The sequence below is a fragment of the Homo sapiens genome, chromosome 14, assembly GCF_000001405.40.
Source record: "Homo sapiens chromosome 14, GRCh38.p14 Primary Assembly".
In the NCBI taxonomy this organism is placed as follows: domain Eukaryota; kingdom Metazoa; phylum Chordata; class Mammalia; order Primates; family Hominidae; genus Homo; species Homo sapiens.
This window is the reverse complement of record NC_000014.9, coordinates 46,321,265-46,340,658: the sequence shown is the minus strand read 5'-3', so window position 1 is coordinate 46,340,658 and position 19,394 is coordinate 46,321,265. Positions and strand designations below refer to the sequence as shown.

General features: G+C 35.1%; 1 long non-coding RNA gene across 2 annotated transcripts in view, besides 2 other annotated features; it reads right to left on the bottom strand.

The window, feature by feature from the left end:
- LINC00871 (long intergenic non-protein coding RNA 871) overlaps window positions 1-19,394 on the bottom strand; it is a 437,745-nt gene that overhangs the window by 161,245 nt on the left and 257,106 nt on the right. The window lies entirely within an intron of this gene.
- Window positions 17,525-18,457: an enhancer, noted in NCBI's record as "OCT4-NANOG-H3K27ac hESC enhancer chr14:46791405-46792337 (GRCh37/hg19 assembly coordinates)". NCBI's record gives its function as "activates a minimal SCP1, AML or CMV promoter by ChIP-STARR-seq in naive and primed H9 embryonic stem cells {active_cell/tissue: H9 hESC(naive and primed)}" and the evidence as "EXISTENCE:reporter gene assay evidence [ECO:0000049][PMID:30033119]".
- Window positions 18,458-19,390: an enhancer, noted in NCBI's record as "OCT4-NANOG-H3K27ac hESC enhancer chr14:46790472-46791404 (GRCh37/hg19 assembly coordinates)". NCBI's record gives its function as "activates a minimal SCP1, AML or CMV promoter by ChIP-STARR-seq in naive and primed H9 embryonic stem cells {active_cell/tissue: H9 hESC(naive and primed)}" and the evidence as "EXISTENCE:reporter gene assay evidence [ECO:0000049][PMID:30033119]".

The window sequence follows — 19,394 nt, the reverse complement described above, 5'->3', positions numbered from 1 at the left end:
ATTAGGCTAGACTTAATTTAAAATGTTTCCTATATAATGTTTTCCGCAGAGTAATTTACTAATGTGAATTATAAACACTAATGGGATAGATACTCTGTGTAGCATTTCATATGTATGTATGTGTATACACCCACCCCCACACACACACAGACTTTTTTTTAATCTCAAAATATTTTTTGTCTTTGGGCTGGGAAAATATGCACTACAGTTTATTGTCTGTCTGTAATTGATACACTTTGTAAAAGGACCATTACACATGTAGTAAGATTTATAGATATTTTAAAAACATTTCAGCAAATTGTTGATTACCTACAGGGTGTAGTTATAAAAATATCACTGCTGCTGGGTCTCTTTCTTCATACTTTCCCTGTGCTTTGCTGTGTCTCAGGGGAAGAAAAGCATGTTTAGGTAATTGTGCTTAGTTTTTATTATTAAGCATATTTTCTGGATGGTGCTTTTTGAAGGAACAACAAAGGTGACAATTATAACATGGAAAATAAAAAGAAAATAATTTCAAGAGGAGACAAACACCCTTTAAGTGATAAAATTAAAAATATTCTTCCATATAACTCATGCACAGATTAAATGTCAGCAATTAAAATGACCTTCACATTTATTTTTAAGTTGGGGTTAATTATAGCATTAATCAAATACCTTATAAACTGGGTATGCAAATAAAATCTCCTGGCATGTTATAGTAACAGAAATATTCACTTCAGGATTTATACATTAGAACCTATCCCACCTCATTGTCACTATGTTTAATTTATAACATCATTCTAATTGGAAAAAAATAAGGTAAGGGTGAACTCCATCAGTGCATATTACTGATTTTACCATACATTCACTTGTCATTCCTAAAATGTGCTAAATCTCGAGTGAAGATATTTATCTCAACAAACTAATGTAGAACTATATCAGTCCATCATTTTAGCTTTAGGAATGATTAAGTTCCTTAAAATTTTCACCAGAATGATTGTGATGTTGTATACAATTTGTATTACAAAATTGTCCTGATATCTTACTTTATATTGACAACAATTCATCACAACTACTGTGTCTCACAATCTGCTGAATTTATAGTCATGGGTCTATTATTCATAAAGAATTATAAAATCAACCTTTCACTCTTAAGTTAAATTACGGGGAAAAACTTCCATTTTCTAAAGGTCAAGATCTTTTTTATAAAGAAAATGACAGTTTATACCAATCCCATTATATATAGATATAAATAGTCATCATCATTTTAAAAGTATACTTTCTTTAGTGTACGAGTTTGAGTTAGTGCTATCAGAAACTGGTCGTACTGAGTACATTTTGTTGGGGGTGGAAATAAAAGATGCTTTAATAAAATCAATCTTTGGAGACACAAATTCACTTTTACTGAGAAGGTATACTTTATCCTAACTGTTGGACAATGATTTTTTTCTTCACATTGTCTCACATAACTTTAGTAAATTACTGACTTTGAAAAAAAGGTGCCGTTTTCAATCTTACTGTGATAAAGATAGAATGAAGGTGTAGTGAGACAAATATTGAAAAATAGGACATATGGAGGAAGAAGAGGAAAAGTCAGTGAAAGATCTGAGACTATTTATTCTGAGGGAATAACAGAGGAAATGATAAAAGCTTATCCTCATCATGGAGTTATCAAAATTGTCTGACAAATAGTTGCTGAAATCCATGTAGGCCAACTGAGAGCTTATTTGCACTAAAGGAAGAAAAATCTCAGGAATCACAGAGGTATTAGAATTAAGAGAGAAAGTATGGTTGGTTTAGGGACCAACCATGCTCTTTTTTGTGAAATGTAGAAGAAATAAACCATACTTTCTTTGTGAAATGTAGATGCAAGAATAAAATCAATGATCCTTCTTTAACAAAATCTGAATGAATGCATGGTGTCTACTTTCAAAAACCCCAATGCATACATTTTTAATCCTTATGTTACTTTATATAATACATTCAAACATAGAAGCTAAACTGCAATAATCTACTTTACATCTATATGTTTGATACAATTGTATTTTGTGACATACAGCCACCAGGCCTGGTATTCTGTCTTATTGAACAAATCAGGGAAGTCATAGCCCAGGAAGAAAGCTAATGAGAGACAGTGACAATTCTGAAGTTTAAGAAGTTATTACTCCTCAAACCCCAAACTTAATCTCGTTTTGGGATTAAGACTGTAGTATTCATTCTAAACTCAGCTGGTTGGAGACTAAGACTGTTGCAGACAAAATGAGCCCCCAAATTGGGAATTAGCCCCAGAAATTTTTTGGCTTTGTTCAGGAGAGAATTCAGGTAGGAGTCAGTAATAGAAGAAAACAGCTTTATCAAAGCGGCCGTATTACAGATCTGTGACTGCTCCTGCAAAGCAGAGCCACTCCATAGGCAGTGAAGAGGAGCAGCTCAGAAGCAGGTCTGTAGTCATATTTATACCCACTTGAATTACATGCAAATTGAGGGGTGGCTTATGCAGAAATTTCTAGAAAAAGGGTAGTAAATTTTGGGTCATTGGGTCATTGCCATTGAAAGGGGTGGTAACTTCCAGGTGTTGCTATGGCAATGGTAAACTGACATGACACTGGTGGGTGTGTCTAACAGAGGTGCTTTCACTTCTTCCCTGTTTCAGCTAGTCTTCAATCTGGTCCAGAGTTCAAGTCCTGCCTCCTACCTCAAGACTGCTAATATATGTATTGCCTGCTTAATCAGAATGGGTTCAGCAGTTTGGAGAGAACTGAGTTTTAGGCTAAGAATAGTAACTGATGTCTGTGGAAAAGCAGGGAAAATTGATATTGGCAAAAATAAATGTTAAAGGCAAATTATATGTTGCACTGGTAATGTACTGACCTTTTGAAAAGGTGGGGTATACTCCAGTCTAACAGTGGAAAAATGAACTAAAGGATTCCCAGAGATCTTGTCAAAAATTAAATGGGCAATAAAAATAATAGCTCCTTTATTTGAGTACTACATATGTGCAGTTACATATGCTGAGTTATTATATGAATTATCCCATTAAGTCTTCACAACACCTATACAAAATACATACCAGTGATAATCCATTTTAACAGTGTAGAATCTAAGACTTAGATTAAATGGGCTCAGAGGTTCAATTAGAGTCTGTGTTATTAGTTACATATTGCTCCGTAACAAACTATCTTAAAGTTTTAGTAGCTGAAAACACAAATGTTTATCACTATACTTTCAATGCATCATTATCCAGGAGTGGAATAGCTCGGTGTTTCTGCGTTAGGGTCTCAAGATCCTGCAATAAGGGTGCCATCTAGGATTGCAGTGATCTCAGGGCTTTACCGTTGAAAGAGTTGTTTTTTTTTTTTTTTTTGAGACAGAGTCTCCCTCTGTGGCCAGGCTGGAGTGCAGTGGCACGATCTCGGCTCACTGCAACCTCTGCCTCCCAGGTTCAAGCGATTCTCCTGCCTCACCTCCTGAGTAGCTGGGACTACAGGTGTGTACCACCAAGCCCAGCTAATTTTTTTTTTTTTTTGTATTTTTAGTAGAGACGGGGTTTCACCATGTTGGCCAGGATGGTCTCGATCTCTTGACCTCGTGATCCACCTGCCTCGGCCTCCCAACTCTTACAAGATCACACATGTGGCTTCTGATAGGGCTCAGAAGATATGCTTCCAAGCTCACTAAATGGAACTCTCCCCAAAGCTGCCTCAAAACATGACAACTGGCTCCACTCTGAGTGAACAATCCAAGAGTGAGTGCACCAAAAACAGAAGCCAGAGATATTTATAACCTAATCATGGTAGCAACATCCTATCACTTCTGCCACACTCTTGTTTAGAAGAAAGCCGATCAGTCCAACCCACACTCAAAGATGAGATTTCACAAGAGCCTGAATACCAAGAGGTAAAGATTATTGGGGGCCGTTCTAGAGCATGCCTGCCGTGCTATATTCTATATACTTCAGAAACTATACTTCCGACAACAGCACTTTAGCACTTTCCTCTTAATTTTTAAACTCTAAGTTACAATGCTTGGATTTTTCTAGCTACGTGGTCATAGATTTATAATATCATAAGCCAAGCAGAATAACTATTTCCTCCTTTTTTGCTTAGTTGATAACTGTCCTTTAGAAAAAGATGAACAGCCGTGAGAAAGGTAGCAAGTTCAATCTTCCCAAAGCATATATTTTTTACTGTGTAGCAGCTCCCTGCTATTAAGATAAGAAATAAAATGAAACTGAATTTTCAACCCTGCCTGTGAGGCATACTTTTTTCCCCCCTCTGATACTTTCTTTGTCAAATGTAGATGCAGAATAAAATCAATGATTCTTCTGTAAGAAAATCTGAATGAATGCATGATGTCTACTTTCAAAAACCCCAATGCATACATTTTTAATCTTTGTTTTACTTCATATAATAAATTCAAACATAGGAAGCTAAACTGCAATATTCTATGTGTTTGATACAATTGTATTTTGTAAGCAATTAGTTTTTTATATATTCTGATTTGTTAATATAAAACTATTTTTTCTGTTGAGTACAGAAAGAGAAAAATCAATTCTACAAAGGTTGTAAAATTTTAATATCTTTTTTGAAAACAGTAAAAAAAATCCCTTAATTTTATAAATATTTAAGTCTTATGTTCCTTTAAAATATTATTAGCTCCAGGCAATGACATTCAAACAGTCTGCTCCATTTCAATTACCATTTGGTTTACAAGAATTTAGGTATTCTTCAGATAAATAATTAATTTAATTTAATCTTTTTATCATCTTGAAAGCATAATCCTACTAGTATTACATACACAAAATGTGAGTCAATTTTAGTGGTTATCTAGAAAAGGCAGGGTATTAGAAAGTTGATAAGGACCCATTTTATGAAAGTGTGTCAGAATTGACTCCATTTTTCAGTTAAATTTTAATGAAAAAAATGTATAAATATGTTTCTAAAAGGCAAATAGTAGTTAAAAGTGTGTAACAAAATGCACTATTTTCTATCCTTCTCTTCCCAACCCATTAATCTTATTCCCCAGAACCAACCTTATTACACCTTTAGCTGTTTCCCTATTTAGCATGCTTGTACTGCTATTTCTTCAACTTACAATTTTAGACAGTTATTTAATTTTCAAGAGTAATTTGAAAGAGGATTTACCTGGCTTACAAAACACCCACACAGGGCAGACAGATACATAAGCACAAGGCTCACAAATACACAACCTATAACTTGTAATGTCATTACATCATAATAGTTAACTAAATTGATGTACAGTGCTCAAATTGTTCTGACTGGGTAATTATTCAATGAAACGAAGTATTGTACCATGATTACAATTCTCTCCTGAAGATAATAATTGCCTATTACTTTTCATTTCTTATCCCATAAATTTAAATGCATTTACGAATTGCTGCTAGCCGTATTGAACTACCATAAATGTTTATTGTACACATACGTTGACACATGCAAGATTATTTCTAAGATTTTACCACTTGAGACTGGTTTCCTCAGGTTGTTTCACCACGGATTGTTTTACTTAGGGGCAGATTTCATCTGGAACTTCCAAAATTAGTCAAGACACGATGCTAAGATACAATCCACACAACTTTACACTCAGATCTACTATGTGGCACTGCTACAATTGTATGCCCTAAAAAAACAGGAATTCAGTAAAAATCTATTTTTGGCACAATTTCCATCAAGAAGAAACATGAAGTGTATTTATAGTCATGCAGCCTGTATTATCCAGTATATTCCTCGCTGGAGAGAATGTCTATTTTTTTCTAGGATTTGATGAGAACAAAATGTTCTGCTTACCATTTATACACATGATGGCTGTTTAATTTTTTCACCAACTATTTTGGCCCCTGTAAATTTTACATCTTTTATCTCTTTTCCTACCCATGTCCTCTGGTGTTAGCTGTGGAAGGATACAGTCTTAGTGTGATAAATCCCTGACTGAACTTTGATGCCACCAATCCAGATAAATTGGCATAATGGTCGGGGGGAGATTATCAGACGCCATTCTTACACTGAGACAGCTGATAAAGATGTAATTACACACGGGAATGATGTGAGCTTTGTAAATATGTCCTACTAAACACCAAATAGTGTATTTATAATAATCTTCTTCTTAGCTGGACTTCAAAAACAGCTGCAGCCAGCTCCTCCAGGACACCTGTATGAGGAACTATAACAGGCTTTGCAGGAGGACAGGTCCGCAGCTGATGTTGGCTGACCGAGTTCTTATTACCCTTGCCTGCAGTTTTCCGAATAATTGTAGAATATGCCCAGAATGCGATATCCTGTGATAATGAGGATATTTTCAGATCTTTTCAGGCTCTGTTCTCATCCATCCTAGAGCAGGACATCCGGCAATGCTTGTGCCCAGTGATCCAAGTTGCCCCTGGGGTGTAAAACCCAGAGTTGAGTGCCTTGAGAGTCTCTCAGCTGTGGTGCAAGGTGGGAAATGCACAGGAAAGACTGTATCCTATGTATCCTACCTGGGAGGCTTTCTGAGCTTGGGAGATTGGCTTGCCATGGATTCTAGGCTTCTGTTGATTCTTGCTGCCTGTGAGTAACGAAGTTGCTTTACCTGACCTGTGTGAGCATTCTGTCTCACCAGACTAGATCTAAAAATGAAAGTGGTAGAGGTGTGACTGCTGTAGCAGTTGTATCTGTTTTAAGCTCCTGCCAGAGACCAGAACACTTGCAGAACTCTGGCAGCTGGGTTAGTCCAAAACCTTCTTTCAGACTTAGAAAACTGAAGTCCTGATCTTAGCCAAGATGGTAGGAAGCAGTAGCTTCTTAATCAATAGTGGCTAAATAATATTTCTTCTAAATGTTCACCAAATCATTTGATCATGTTAACACATTGCTAGGGTCACTTCCATCCATTGAAAGGTGCTTGTGCAAATGAGGGACTCTTAAGCCAAAGCTTCATTAACTTCATAGTAAATCCACCTTTGTTCCTTTATTAAGTATATGCAGCAGTGGCTTCCAGAGAAAAGGAGTATGAGAAGTTAACACAGGAGCCCTTTCATGTCTAAAGATGTCTGTAGCCCACCTTTACATTTAATTATTAGTTCTGTGTGTAAAGACTTCTAGGTTGAAAATCATTTTCCCTCAGAACCTTGAAGGTATATTGAATAGTCCAATGTCATTCTGAATCCACTTATATTTATGTGATTTGTTATATCTATATAAAAATTTTCTTTCTGCATGATGTTAAGACTTGTTATGGGTTAAATTGTGTTCTCTAAAAATTAATATGTTGAAGCCCTCCCCACTCACTACCTCAAAATATAAACTTATTTGGAAATAGTATCCTTCCAGACATATAAGATGATGTCACTTAGGTGGGCCCTAATCCAAATCCAATGTAACTGATGTCCTTATAAAAAGGAAATATTAGAACATGGAAACAGATACATGTAGAGAGAAGATGATGTCAAGAGAACAGAAAGAAGACAGTTATCTATTAGCCAAGGTAAGAGATCTGGACTAGATATATATTTCTCTAGGCTCCCAAAAGAAACCAACCTAACTGACACCTTGATATTATACTTCTAACAGTCAGAGATGTCAGACAATAAATTTCTGTTTTTTAAGGCACTCCACTTGATTTTGGGCATTTTGTTCCAGGAGCCCTAGGAAATTAATACAGGGTCTTCTGTTTAGTGTGCTAAAATTTGAACATGATGTGCTTTGTCTGTTTTTTTCCTGGAATCCTTTTAATTTGGAAATATATCCCCTTCAGTTCTAGGATATGCTTTTTAACATCATGTCTTCGATACCTTGCTACTCTCCATTTTCTGATTTCCTTTTTTGAAAATTTGCATTTGTATTCATATTGAACTTTTTGGTTTAATTCCTTAATTTTCTCAACTCAAGTGCATTTTTTCTATATTACTGTTGTTCCCCCTCCCCACTTACTGCATGATTTCATCAACTTTTTATTCTGGGAGTTTGAATAACTCCTAAAATATTTCTATCCTTTTAGTTGAAATTTAAGAACTCTTTCTTGCTCTCTGAGTGTTTCTTTTTTTGTATCATTCTGGGTTCGTTGTTGTCTATTTCTTTTCCATTTTAAAATTTTAGTTCACAATTCAGCAGAATTGGAAGTTTGTGCTGATTCCAATTTGGAAGATTTCATTGGTCTTGGTTTGGTTTACTCATGTATTTGTGATCAGCTCCTGAGTGGGCTAGGGGCTCATTTTTGTTTCACATTTTTTTTTTTATCCTCCATCACGCCAGCCCAAACATGTTCACATGAAGCTGGACATGATTTCTCACCTTAAATAGTCTTGAGTGCTTTTTAGTCATGCTTTTATTCCTATTTCTCCATGAAATTTTTCTCATCAAGGTCACTAATGATTCAATGCTGAAAAGTAAAACGATCAGATCTTAATTCTTATCTTACCTGGCTTATCAGCGGTTGCTCAAGCATTTCTCTTTAAAACACTTTTACAAACTTTTGCTTCTGAGACATCATACTTGACTCCAATTCCTAATACATTTCTGAGTGGACCACAGAAGTCTCTTTTGCTGGTACACCTCATGATTACATTTCTAAATATGGATGTGCCACATGCCTCATTCTTCAAGCTGTTTTGCTTTTTTAAGAATATACATCAAGTTTTTGTCATCTCATCCTCTCAAGACATGGAAAATCCTATATCTAATGACTTCCAAAAGTGTATCTACAACCAGGCTTCTCCCCTAGGCTTTAGACTTATATCTAAATACCTACCCAACACGACAACTGGAACATCTAAGAGGGATCTCACACTTATCATTCCAAAATTGAACTTCTTATATTCCCATCACCCACGTGTATTCCTCTTGCAGTTTTTTCTATATTCTAAACGGTAACATCACTTTTTCTGTTTCTCAAACTAAAAACCTTGGAGTTCACCATGACTTCTCTCTTTCTCTCATAATGCATATCAAATTTATCACTATATCCTGCGTTGCTGTCTTCAAAATATGTCAAAAAATGTCACAACTCCTTTCTATCTCTACTCCTACAATCTTGGCAAAGTTGCCATAATCTTCTCCTGAATTATAGCAACAACTTTTAAAATGACTATACTTAGTCTATCTTTGTGCCACCCTTGCTTTAGTTTATTTGTAGAGCGGCCAGAGTAACTAAAATATAATCTATACCATATCACTTCTCTTTTAAACTCTTACGATGGCTTCTCCGCTCATCATAAGTAACAGTCCACTTTAGGATGAAAAAACATAATGTTAGAAGGAACAAATCTTACACATAATGTAAAAAATTGTAAAACTTTATAGAAACTCATAAAAGGGTTGTTAAATACATTTTGGAATATGTAGATCTAGTTTATGTTTATAAATAGAAAAATTTTCTAATACAAAATAAAAATTATCCAAAACTTGATCTGCTACTCCAGTCAAATTGCAAATTGCCAAAAATAACCAGCTCCTGAAAAACAAAAACTAGTATCATATGACAAGAACTATTATAAATTCGTATCACTAAAATACTCTATTATTAGCACAATGGTATGACATTGACCAATGGAAGAAGGGAGAGATTAGAAATAAAGTGATGCACATACAAAAATCAGTATGACAATTTATATTGTTTTCCAACAAGAAAGGTGCATGTTCATCCACACATACATATCAATTTTAGGTGGATTTTGGATTCACGTATGAAAAGTAAAAATTTAAAATTCTTAGAAGAAGATGTAATAGGCAACCTTGATAAGTTTTAAAATGAGTTTTTTAAACAAAAAAAATTAAAAAGCACAAAAGCCACAAAGAAAATTATGATGAATTGAACTCGATTAAAATTATAAACTTTTATTCATCAAAATGATCATAAAGACAACCAGGAAAGATATTTTCAATAGATAAAACAGAGAATTAGTCAATATAACATATAAAGTTCTCCCACAAATAAATATAGAATAGATGAAAGAATTAGAAACAGAAAAATGCCAACAGTCATAAAGATGCATTTTACTGAGAGGAAAGATGGTTTGCCAAGAAATATATAAAAAGACACTAATCTTCCTTTGCAGGAAAATGATCAAATACCCTCTCACACTAATGAAACAATTATACTAAATATAGATGAGTATGTTTATCAATAGTCATTCTTATATTTTTTGACAGGGTTATAAACTGATACAATCTATTTGAAAAAATATTTGATATTATCAATAGAACTAGAATCCTCTCTTAGATATTGTAGCTAGAGAAGAGAGGAGGCTTGTGGACATTATCTTCTCAAGATTGACCAGAGGAGGGACTTAATAAAATAATACTGTGTATGCTCAGTATAATTCAGTCCAATTTATTATTAGAACAATAGCACCGGCTATGGTAGATAATACTTACATAAACCCAGAGAAATAACTTGCACATACAGTTTTAAAATTTTGGAAGACCTAGATCTATTTGACAGGTCTGATTTGCATAGAATCACAGAAGTAATGATGTTTCTTGTGGAGAAACATACAAAAAAGAATTTGGGTTTTGCTCAAGTCTCCTAGATGTAGTGTTTAGAAGTTTCTGAAATAAGGTGTATGTGACTGGAGTATGTATATCAACTAACCTGATTCCAAGTTGTATCAGATGACATGCAGCCTGCCTCATGTTCCAAACAAACCCTTTAGGAAAGAGAAGCCACTCTAAGGTCTGATGATTGATTCAGCAGAAGTTGATTTGTTTGTTGTTGTTTAGTTAATTAAAACAAAATCCCTACTTTAAGATACCTTCCAATTACTTTTAATACGTTTTATCTCAAGGAAAAGCCCCAAAACATCTGAAAGGAGGCAGCAATTTTAGAACAAGTACAATCGCAAGCCTCAGTATTCTCTAAAAAGTTATTATGTATGTGTTTATTTTGGTTTTACTAAGGCATTATTTTGGGTTTTTTTCATGAGTCATTATATAATGAACAAGATATTACTTTCAACACTTTTCCAAATTAAAAATATTGTCACTGAAATACTTGAACAACTATGACGAGTTACCAAATTTACTAAATTATACTTTTACAAATAAAATTAGACAACAGTTTGAAATTAAATACCCAACTTCCTTATAACCACTAAGTTAGTCTTAAATTGGTTATTTTAAAATGAACATCAGAAAATAACATTTGTACTAGTATTATATATTTGCACATTTTAGAAGCTCTGAAATTCTAAACTTTCCTGTGTTTACAAAAACCACTATTTCATTTTGCCCTTTACAACTTAAAATGCACTGGAAAAATCTGAAGTCCTATGTGTATTAATGTCTGAAGTCTAAAGTCTTGTATGTATTTTTTCAAACACTTATATAACAGATAATATTAAATATATATAACCAAGAGTAACCCCCTATCCATTTTTATTGCTTTTAGTAAAATAAATTTTCTCCATTAGCATATGAGGTTTCTGAATTTTCAATTACACTTTTTGTCATTACTGCCCTTTGTTTTAGTCTTGCTTTTTGGAATGCATTTTTGAGACACAAAAACGTTATATTTTCACGTCTTTCAAAAGTGTTCCCATGTAACTAGGATGGTGCTGATAGAAGGCTCATGTACAAAGAAAAATCAATCTACTTTTAATTATGATGTCTGAAGGGTTAAAATCTGTCAATAGTTTTTATGATAAGTAGTTTATAATTAAAATATAGTTTATGGAAGAAGAAAAGGATTTAGAGATTTTGAAGCATATCAAAATTTTTGAATTATTTCCGGGAAGTAACTCTTAATCACAAAAACAATCATAAAAATAATTCTGACTTTAATTTTGCTCTAGGAATTATGTCCTTTACAGCATATTTGAAAGGGTTGAATTCTAATGCTTATAACTCAAAATGCATTAACAAAAGGCAAAGAATTATCTCTAAAGCTTATTGCACCATAATGTTTTCCTGGGTTGTTGACAATATGTTCTGGTGAAAAGATTCATTTGTTTATGCTCCAAAGACTGATCATTCAAGTTAATTAAGCATGAAGCAGAAAACATCTTTGGAGCGCTTGTCTCTAGAACCTCTTTCACTTCTTTTGTGGTGATTCACAGTATATCCTGTTTTTGACAGTCGCTAGGTTGCTGATAACTAAATAGGTTTTCAAGTTTGAGAAGTTTATTGAGCATCTTGTCTCATGAGGCCAAAGTACCTACCTACTAAAGCTACCAGGCTGCTGTTGGTACAATGGAAACAAAAATTAGCAAATGAGGAGAGCAAGAGCAGAGGGGGAGAGTGGTTATAGGATTCTGTATTTTAATTGGGGAAGGCTGTCTAGAGAAATATTCTCCCTAATCTTTGCTGTCAGAGAATCTGTCATCACACCATGGACCAGATGGACTCCACCAACGTTTCTGTGATTCTAAGATTCCTAGCAGTAACCTTGAAAACTGCACAAACACTACTAGTTAACATCTGTGAGCAAAAACCCATACAGCCAAAACCTTTAATTAATTAATATGCCATTTGAGGTCCGAAGCCACAGACAGAAATATCTGAAGCTTTGACAGGGTCTTTAAAATGCTGTAATAATTAAATCATGCACATATCATAATAGAAGTTTCATACTCTGTCAGTGACAGAAAGCCTCCCTTTTTATAAGTCCCTTTTATACTGCAGACACTTACTTATCTTGATTTTCCAAAGGAAATGTATTTTCCAAGTTAACACAGGGACAGAGTCTATTCTACAGACTAACAAATACATATATTTTCAGATTTAAACATAGTTATTTATGAGATTCTTTCTCTTCCCTTGTACCTAAAAGGTAAATATTACTTTTTACTCTGAAAATGATTGAGTAGTTGAGTCTGGTATAGCTTGAAATGTCAAACAACCCCACTGTGAATTTTTGGAAGTCTGTGTATACTTTTTCTAGATGTTAAATTTTCAAATATATTGCATTCAATGTTCAATTAGCTTTAAAATCAAATGAACATGTAGATCATAACAGTTAACTTATAATAATATAATTTCAATCCTTTATAGTTCAGTCAATAAAATATATGTTCACTGCCAGAAAACCTGTGTGACTCTTATAACCAGTCCTGACTTTTTTCCTCTTAGGCATGTCTATAGTCAGAAAAATGATAGTACTATTGTTTCCTGAATTTGAAAATGGAAAATCAAGTAATTCAGTTCAAAATTATTTTCAAAATATTTCAAAAGTATTTCCACAATGATTTATAGGTCTATGTTTCTTTATAGCCAAGGCAATTGTAAAACAATCATAAAAATAATTCTGATTTTAATTTTGCTCTGGGAATTGAGTCATTTTTAGCATATTTGGAAGGGATGAATTCTAATGTTTGTAATTCAATTTGTGAAGAACTTTCTTTACTTGACTTTCGGTTGAATATTTTTCTTTATGATATTTTTCCTGTATCTTCTCCTTAATATATTCCTAATAATAATAATAATGACAAAACTACCAAATTCCAAATTTTAACAACAGTTTGATAAACTTCCCACTGACATAAGCAAAATATTCTTTTTCAGTTATTTAACCTCAACAGTAACAAAATATTCCCGGCTCTAATGTGTTTTTAAATATATGTCTTCACGTGAGCTTTAACATACAAAAAATATTCATGCATGTAAGTTTCTACTTAGACATGCTTATAGACTTTCTTAACTTATATTATTATTAAGTGGCTTTTAAATATTTAAACTATCCATTCCTTTTCCTATACTTCAGTGACTGTAGTCAATAGAAAGTCTCTAGAACATGTGGAGAAGCCCCCATGCCCCAGGCACACTTAAAATTGCTATGTAATACATGCGTATTTTATTATTTATTATGTCTACTACTTTATTCAGACCTATTTACTTTATTCAGGCCTATACTTTTGAGACTATATGAATTGTCTCCTATTTTGAGCAGAAGGGAGAGATGGAATTTTTTTTTCCTGTCTTTGGTACATGTTTGCTTGTGCAGGAATCAATGGCCTGCAGCTATTTATATGCTTTCATCCCTTATTTTGGTTATTTTTCTCAAAGCATTGGGGAAGATAAAAGGATTGAATAATTTGCCTTGGTGCCAAACCTCATTGACTGACCCTTAAAAATGCGTTGAAATTGAAAATCCTTCTAACCAAACTGAAACAGTATTTGAAAGAGAGTGAATATGGCATTGGTTTTTGTACCTGGAAATTGAGCTTTATGGCCATTTATTAATTTTACCTTTTCCATAATCCCATGAGAAGGAAGGATAGAAAACTGCAATTTCTAGAGCCACAATCAGACAATAAACGAACCGATCCATGTACAGTTTCATATTTTCATTCTGAGGTTGAAAGAATGGAAATGAAACAAATGGTTTAAAATTCTAAGAGAAAAATGGAAACTTAGTGATGGGAATCCAGAAGGATTTTATAGAAATTTGTGATTGACCTAAGACATTCAAGGGGAAAACGAACCTTGGATACTCTCTGTATCAGTGACTCTTAACTCTAGCTATTCATTAGAAAAAGCCTTGGGAACTTTTATAATATACCAATGCTCAGACACCATATCCCAGAGAATCTGGTAGAATTTATTTGGAGTGTGGCATAGGCATAGGTATTTTGTTCAAAGCTCATAGGTGATTCTACCTTACAGTCAGGATTGAGAATCATTAATCTAAATCAGAGAATAGGAATTATCTTAGGATCTTATAAAAACGAAGAATCTGACTCAGCAGGTCTGGGCGAGACTGACAGCCTAACAAGCTCCCACATGAGGTGACTGCTGCTGCCACTGCTACACATTTGACTAGCAAAGGTGCCACAGTACTGCTCTATGAGTTTTCATCTGTCCTCCAGAGAAGGTGCTATAGCAGGTGCTCAGCTTTGGTGAGTGCTCCCATCAGCTTGTGCATTTTTCACTGGAATTTTAAGAATGTTTCTTTTTAAATTTTACAAATGGACACTTTTAACATTTATCCCTCAAAGTATCAGTGTATCATTCAGACACATATTTTTAAAATAATTTATTAACTGATATGTGTTATTTGTTGGGTTCCTCAAGAAGAAGACAATGAGACTAAAATTAACCTATGGGAAATAGTAAAGGTTGTTCTTGGGAAAAAAAGAGCTGTGGAAAGAGAGGAAAGGAGAAAGTAGAAGTGGGCAGGGGTGAAGGTGGTCAGTGATGCAGTGTCAACAAAGGAGGCCTCTGTCAATCCCATGCCCTTCTCACTTGTTCCATGTTGGTACAAGGGGAGGGGAGATTATCCCCCAGCATTGAATAGTCATTGCATATTGGCTGCCCAGGTCAGAAATACGACTTTCTGTGAGGTGGCCACCGAGTGCTGTCTGACGGCAGTAGCACTACCAGAAGCTAAGAGAATAAGTCATTCAATCCTACAGGAGGATCTGGGCAGTGCAGCACAGAATCCACTAACGTCTAGTCCTCGTGCTGCTTGAGTATTCTTATAAACTGTTTCCTAATTTCTATAAAAGCTTCCTAATTTCAAATTCTTTGGAATGTAAATGAATGGCTGGCATCATATTTTTATCTGCCTTTGAAATACAAGAACACACTTCTGGGAGAGAAGTTTCTCAATCTCTCCTGAGGTCCTTAACTATTTATTCAGTCATCCAATTTCTATACTTGTCCTTTAACTTAAATCCAGGTATAGAAAAACTAAAAACAAAAACAAAATATTTACAGTAGAGCTTATCTTTGGAGGAAGGGAAAGACAGATATGAATGTGAGAGGATGCAGTTCATGCAAGGTTGAGATAGGCTACTTTTATTAAGGGAAACTTATATAAGAGGATGATCAGTGGGACAAACGACAGCTGTCATTGCTGCAGCTGCTATCAGAACCATCATGACTGGCACTCATGATCTCTGTTTTCCATTTTAGATTCTTCTCTCCCTCAAAAAGCACCTCTGCAGATCTCCATGGCTTGCGGGGTGCATAGTCCTTCATTCTGGAGTGATCTGCGCCCTGGATATTTTATGTACTTCTCAGGTTGTGGCTGCTATACACATGTATTTCCTATTAAAATTGTATGAGGAATTATCAAGAAGTGCCCAAGTGGATGAACAAGGTGCCTCATTCTTCACTATTGTATAGCAGCATCCCTACCTTCTGATCATGAGTCAATTAATGCAGCCAGGATAATGACCCTTTTTCTCATCTTCTGGTCTGCAAACACGAGGAGCCCCAACTTTCACACAGGTGTCATAGCTTATAATTCAGTGAAGATTTTTCTGTGTTCATGGTGAATCTCGTGAGTACTTTTAGGAAATAGGAATTCTAAAGCCTCAGAGCCCACAGAATATATAATACAAAGAATATGTATTCCACTGCTGCTGATGGTTAGTTTTTGATATCTATGTTTATTTATTTTGCCCCGAAAATAAACATGAAGCTTCTGGACTGGGGGAAGACTATTATTACAGTAGTAAGCACATTGGTTTCCTGTACCCTATTTCTCCCCTTCAAAGTGATGCAATGAGAGCCAGGTCTGCAAGTGTATAAAAGAAGATTTTTGTACCAAAGGCGAGGAATCCCAAAATTACAATTCTGGGAGCTTATGTGGGCTATAAACTGCCCAGCTGCTACCTTCTCCTCCAGAGATTGGGGATAATTTTATCTACTTCATGTAAACAAATCTTCTCTGGGAAGAGAAGAGGAAGTTTCCTAATTTCAAATTCTTTGGAATGTAAATGAATGACTGGCATCATATTTTTATCTGCCTTTGAAATATAAGAACACACTTCTGGGAGAGAAGTTTCTCAATCTCTCCTGAGGTCCTTAACTATTTATTCAGTCATCCAATTTCTATACTTGTCCTTTAACTTAAATCCAGGTATAGAAAAACTAAAAACAAAAACAAAATATTTACAGTAGAGCTTATCTTTGGAGTAAGGGAAAGACAGATATGAATGTGAGAGGATGCATGAGGGCTTCAAAACATTAGTTATAACCTATTTCTTAAGCTGGGCACACAAGTTTCATTTCACTTTTATAGCTTCTATACAGTTTAAAATGTATGTTGTATGTTGATGAAATATTATAAAATAAGTGGTTAATTTATAATTTAAGAAGACAATATCAGGACTAATTCTCCATGACTCATGTTGGTGTTTACTTTAGCAACCAGCAGAAATCTTGCTCACTAAGAGTGGGTGTCACACTCCTAACTTGACATAAATCTTCCACAGCTTGCCAATGCTTTCCACTAATTCCTCTGGAACCTATGGTCAGTTATCCTCATTTTAGCATTTATTATCCTCACTACTCTTCATCTAGATGCCTCAGTTTAGGAATCAACAAACAGCCCACAAGCAAAATCTATCCTGTTGCCTGTTTTGTACAAAAAGTTTTATTGAAACACTCATTTATTTACTTAATATCTATGGCTGCTTTTCTACTTCAAGAACAGAGTTGAGTAGTTGTGACAGAGACCACCTGGCCCACAAAGCCTGAAATATGTGCTATCCGGCTCTCTACAGAAACAGTTTGCCAATTCCTGGCTTATCTGAAACCTCACATTTCCTCAGGCCACAACCTCCACCTAGCTCTTTCAAGAAAAGGCTGTTTTTTATTTCCTTTGCATGTACCTCACAACTAGAGACAACAAAGGGGGTGTTGCTAACACTTCTAAACTATGTTTCCTTCCTTTGTTTTTCTAAAAACCAAAACATGAAGCACATGCCATTGCACTATGCACTCTTTTTGATGGCCATCACTCTTAAAGACCTCCCTGTCACTCTTCCTTACTCACCTCACCCGTGAGTCTAGCACCTGGATTGCTGTCAGCCAGTCCCACCCATGATTGTAAATTTGACCATGCCATCATTGATAACCCCATTAACTCACTTTGTATTCAGCTTAGATTTAACATTGCTGGCTTTGACCATGCCATCCCATCCTTTCATTTAATTTATCCCACAGCCCACATTCTAACACATCCAGTTCACTTTTCCATCCTCCATTATCCACTTATTCGCATTTGGGAATCTTGTTAAAAATGCAGCTTCTGATTTAGGGAGTTCTGAGTATTTTTTTTTTTCTAACCATCTCCCAGGAATGCCAGTGTTGCTGGTCCTCAGATCACAGTAGTAAAGCCCTAGATTTCATGGTCTATTATTTTAATAGAAGTTATGGGGGGAATCTGATCAGTGGAAGGTGGTAAGCATGACTTATTCCTGAGTGTGTAAAAGTGTTTCTCTGTTCTTAGGCCATTTGTGTCTGCTAATCAGTGCCTAATTAGCACACCACTGCACACAGTCAGGCAGAAACTGGGGCAAATTCTCCCTTTCTCTGCCATTTGTTCTGTTCCAGCCCTCAATAGATTGATGATGCTCATCCACATAAGTGAAGGCAGTTAGTTTCATTGAGTCCACCAATTCAAATGCTAATGTCATGTGGAAACACCCTCACACACACACCCAGAAATCCTGTTTAGCCAGTCTGCTAATTGATGTTAGATTCCTACTCTCTTACAGAGACTGGAAGATGAGGGCATTATCTTCTTAATGATTACATTTCAAAGGGATGGCTTCCACGTCTTTAAGAAAGTCATTCTTAGGTTGTAAACCTGTCAAGACATTTAAAATGATTTACATCTTAAAAGTTTTCTAAAGTAAATGCTCTAAGAAAAGGGAGATCAGGAGCCTAGAGTCAGGAAGAAGCTTGTCAGTTGAGCTGTGGAAAACTTTATGGCCATCTTGGTCAAATGTCTCATATTTATCACTGCTTCCTAATCTCTCCCCTATATATCTAAATCTCTCCCTTATCCTCCTTCCTGCACATGCATTATTTTTTTATCTCCACTTTAATATGTAGTAGGCCTTTCATACTTATTATGTCCAGTATTGTCTTATGTCCTCACCAATCCTATGCTATGAAAATCTACTTTTGTCTCAGTATTCCTCATCATCAGCAAATGTTACCATCATCCACACCAAATGCTCAACCAGAATCCTAGGAGTAATCATTTTTTCCTCTCTTTCCCTAAACCCTCATACCAAATTCAGCAGCAAGTCCTATTTGTGTCTATCTCAAAAATATATTTCTTATCCATCCACTTATCCTCATTTCTACTGCTACCGTGGATATATAAGTAACACAGGCCATTGCCATACTCTGCTAAACAGTTTTACAAGAATTGTTTAAAGTCTTTCAAACTGAGTGGTTATTTCAATATGGTATTCTGAGCTGAGATACTTGCATACAGGGTTATTTATAATCTTGCCTTTATGAAACACTTATAAAATATTAGCATTTCCAATAGTGTGGTTAACTTAATGATGCTGAGCTTTCCTAACATTATTTAAATAATCTTGTTATAGGAAAGGGGTATCGATCCAGACCCCAAGAGAGGGTTATTGGCTCTCACGCCAGAAGGAATTCAGGGTGAGTCCACAGTGCAAAGCGAAAGCAAGTTTATTCAGAAAGTAAAGGAATAAAAGAATCGCTACTCCATAG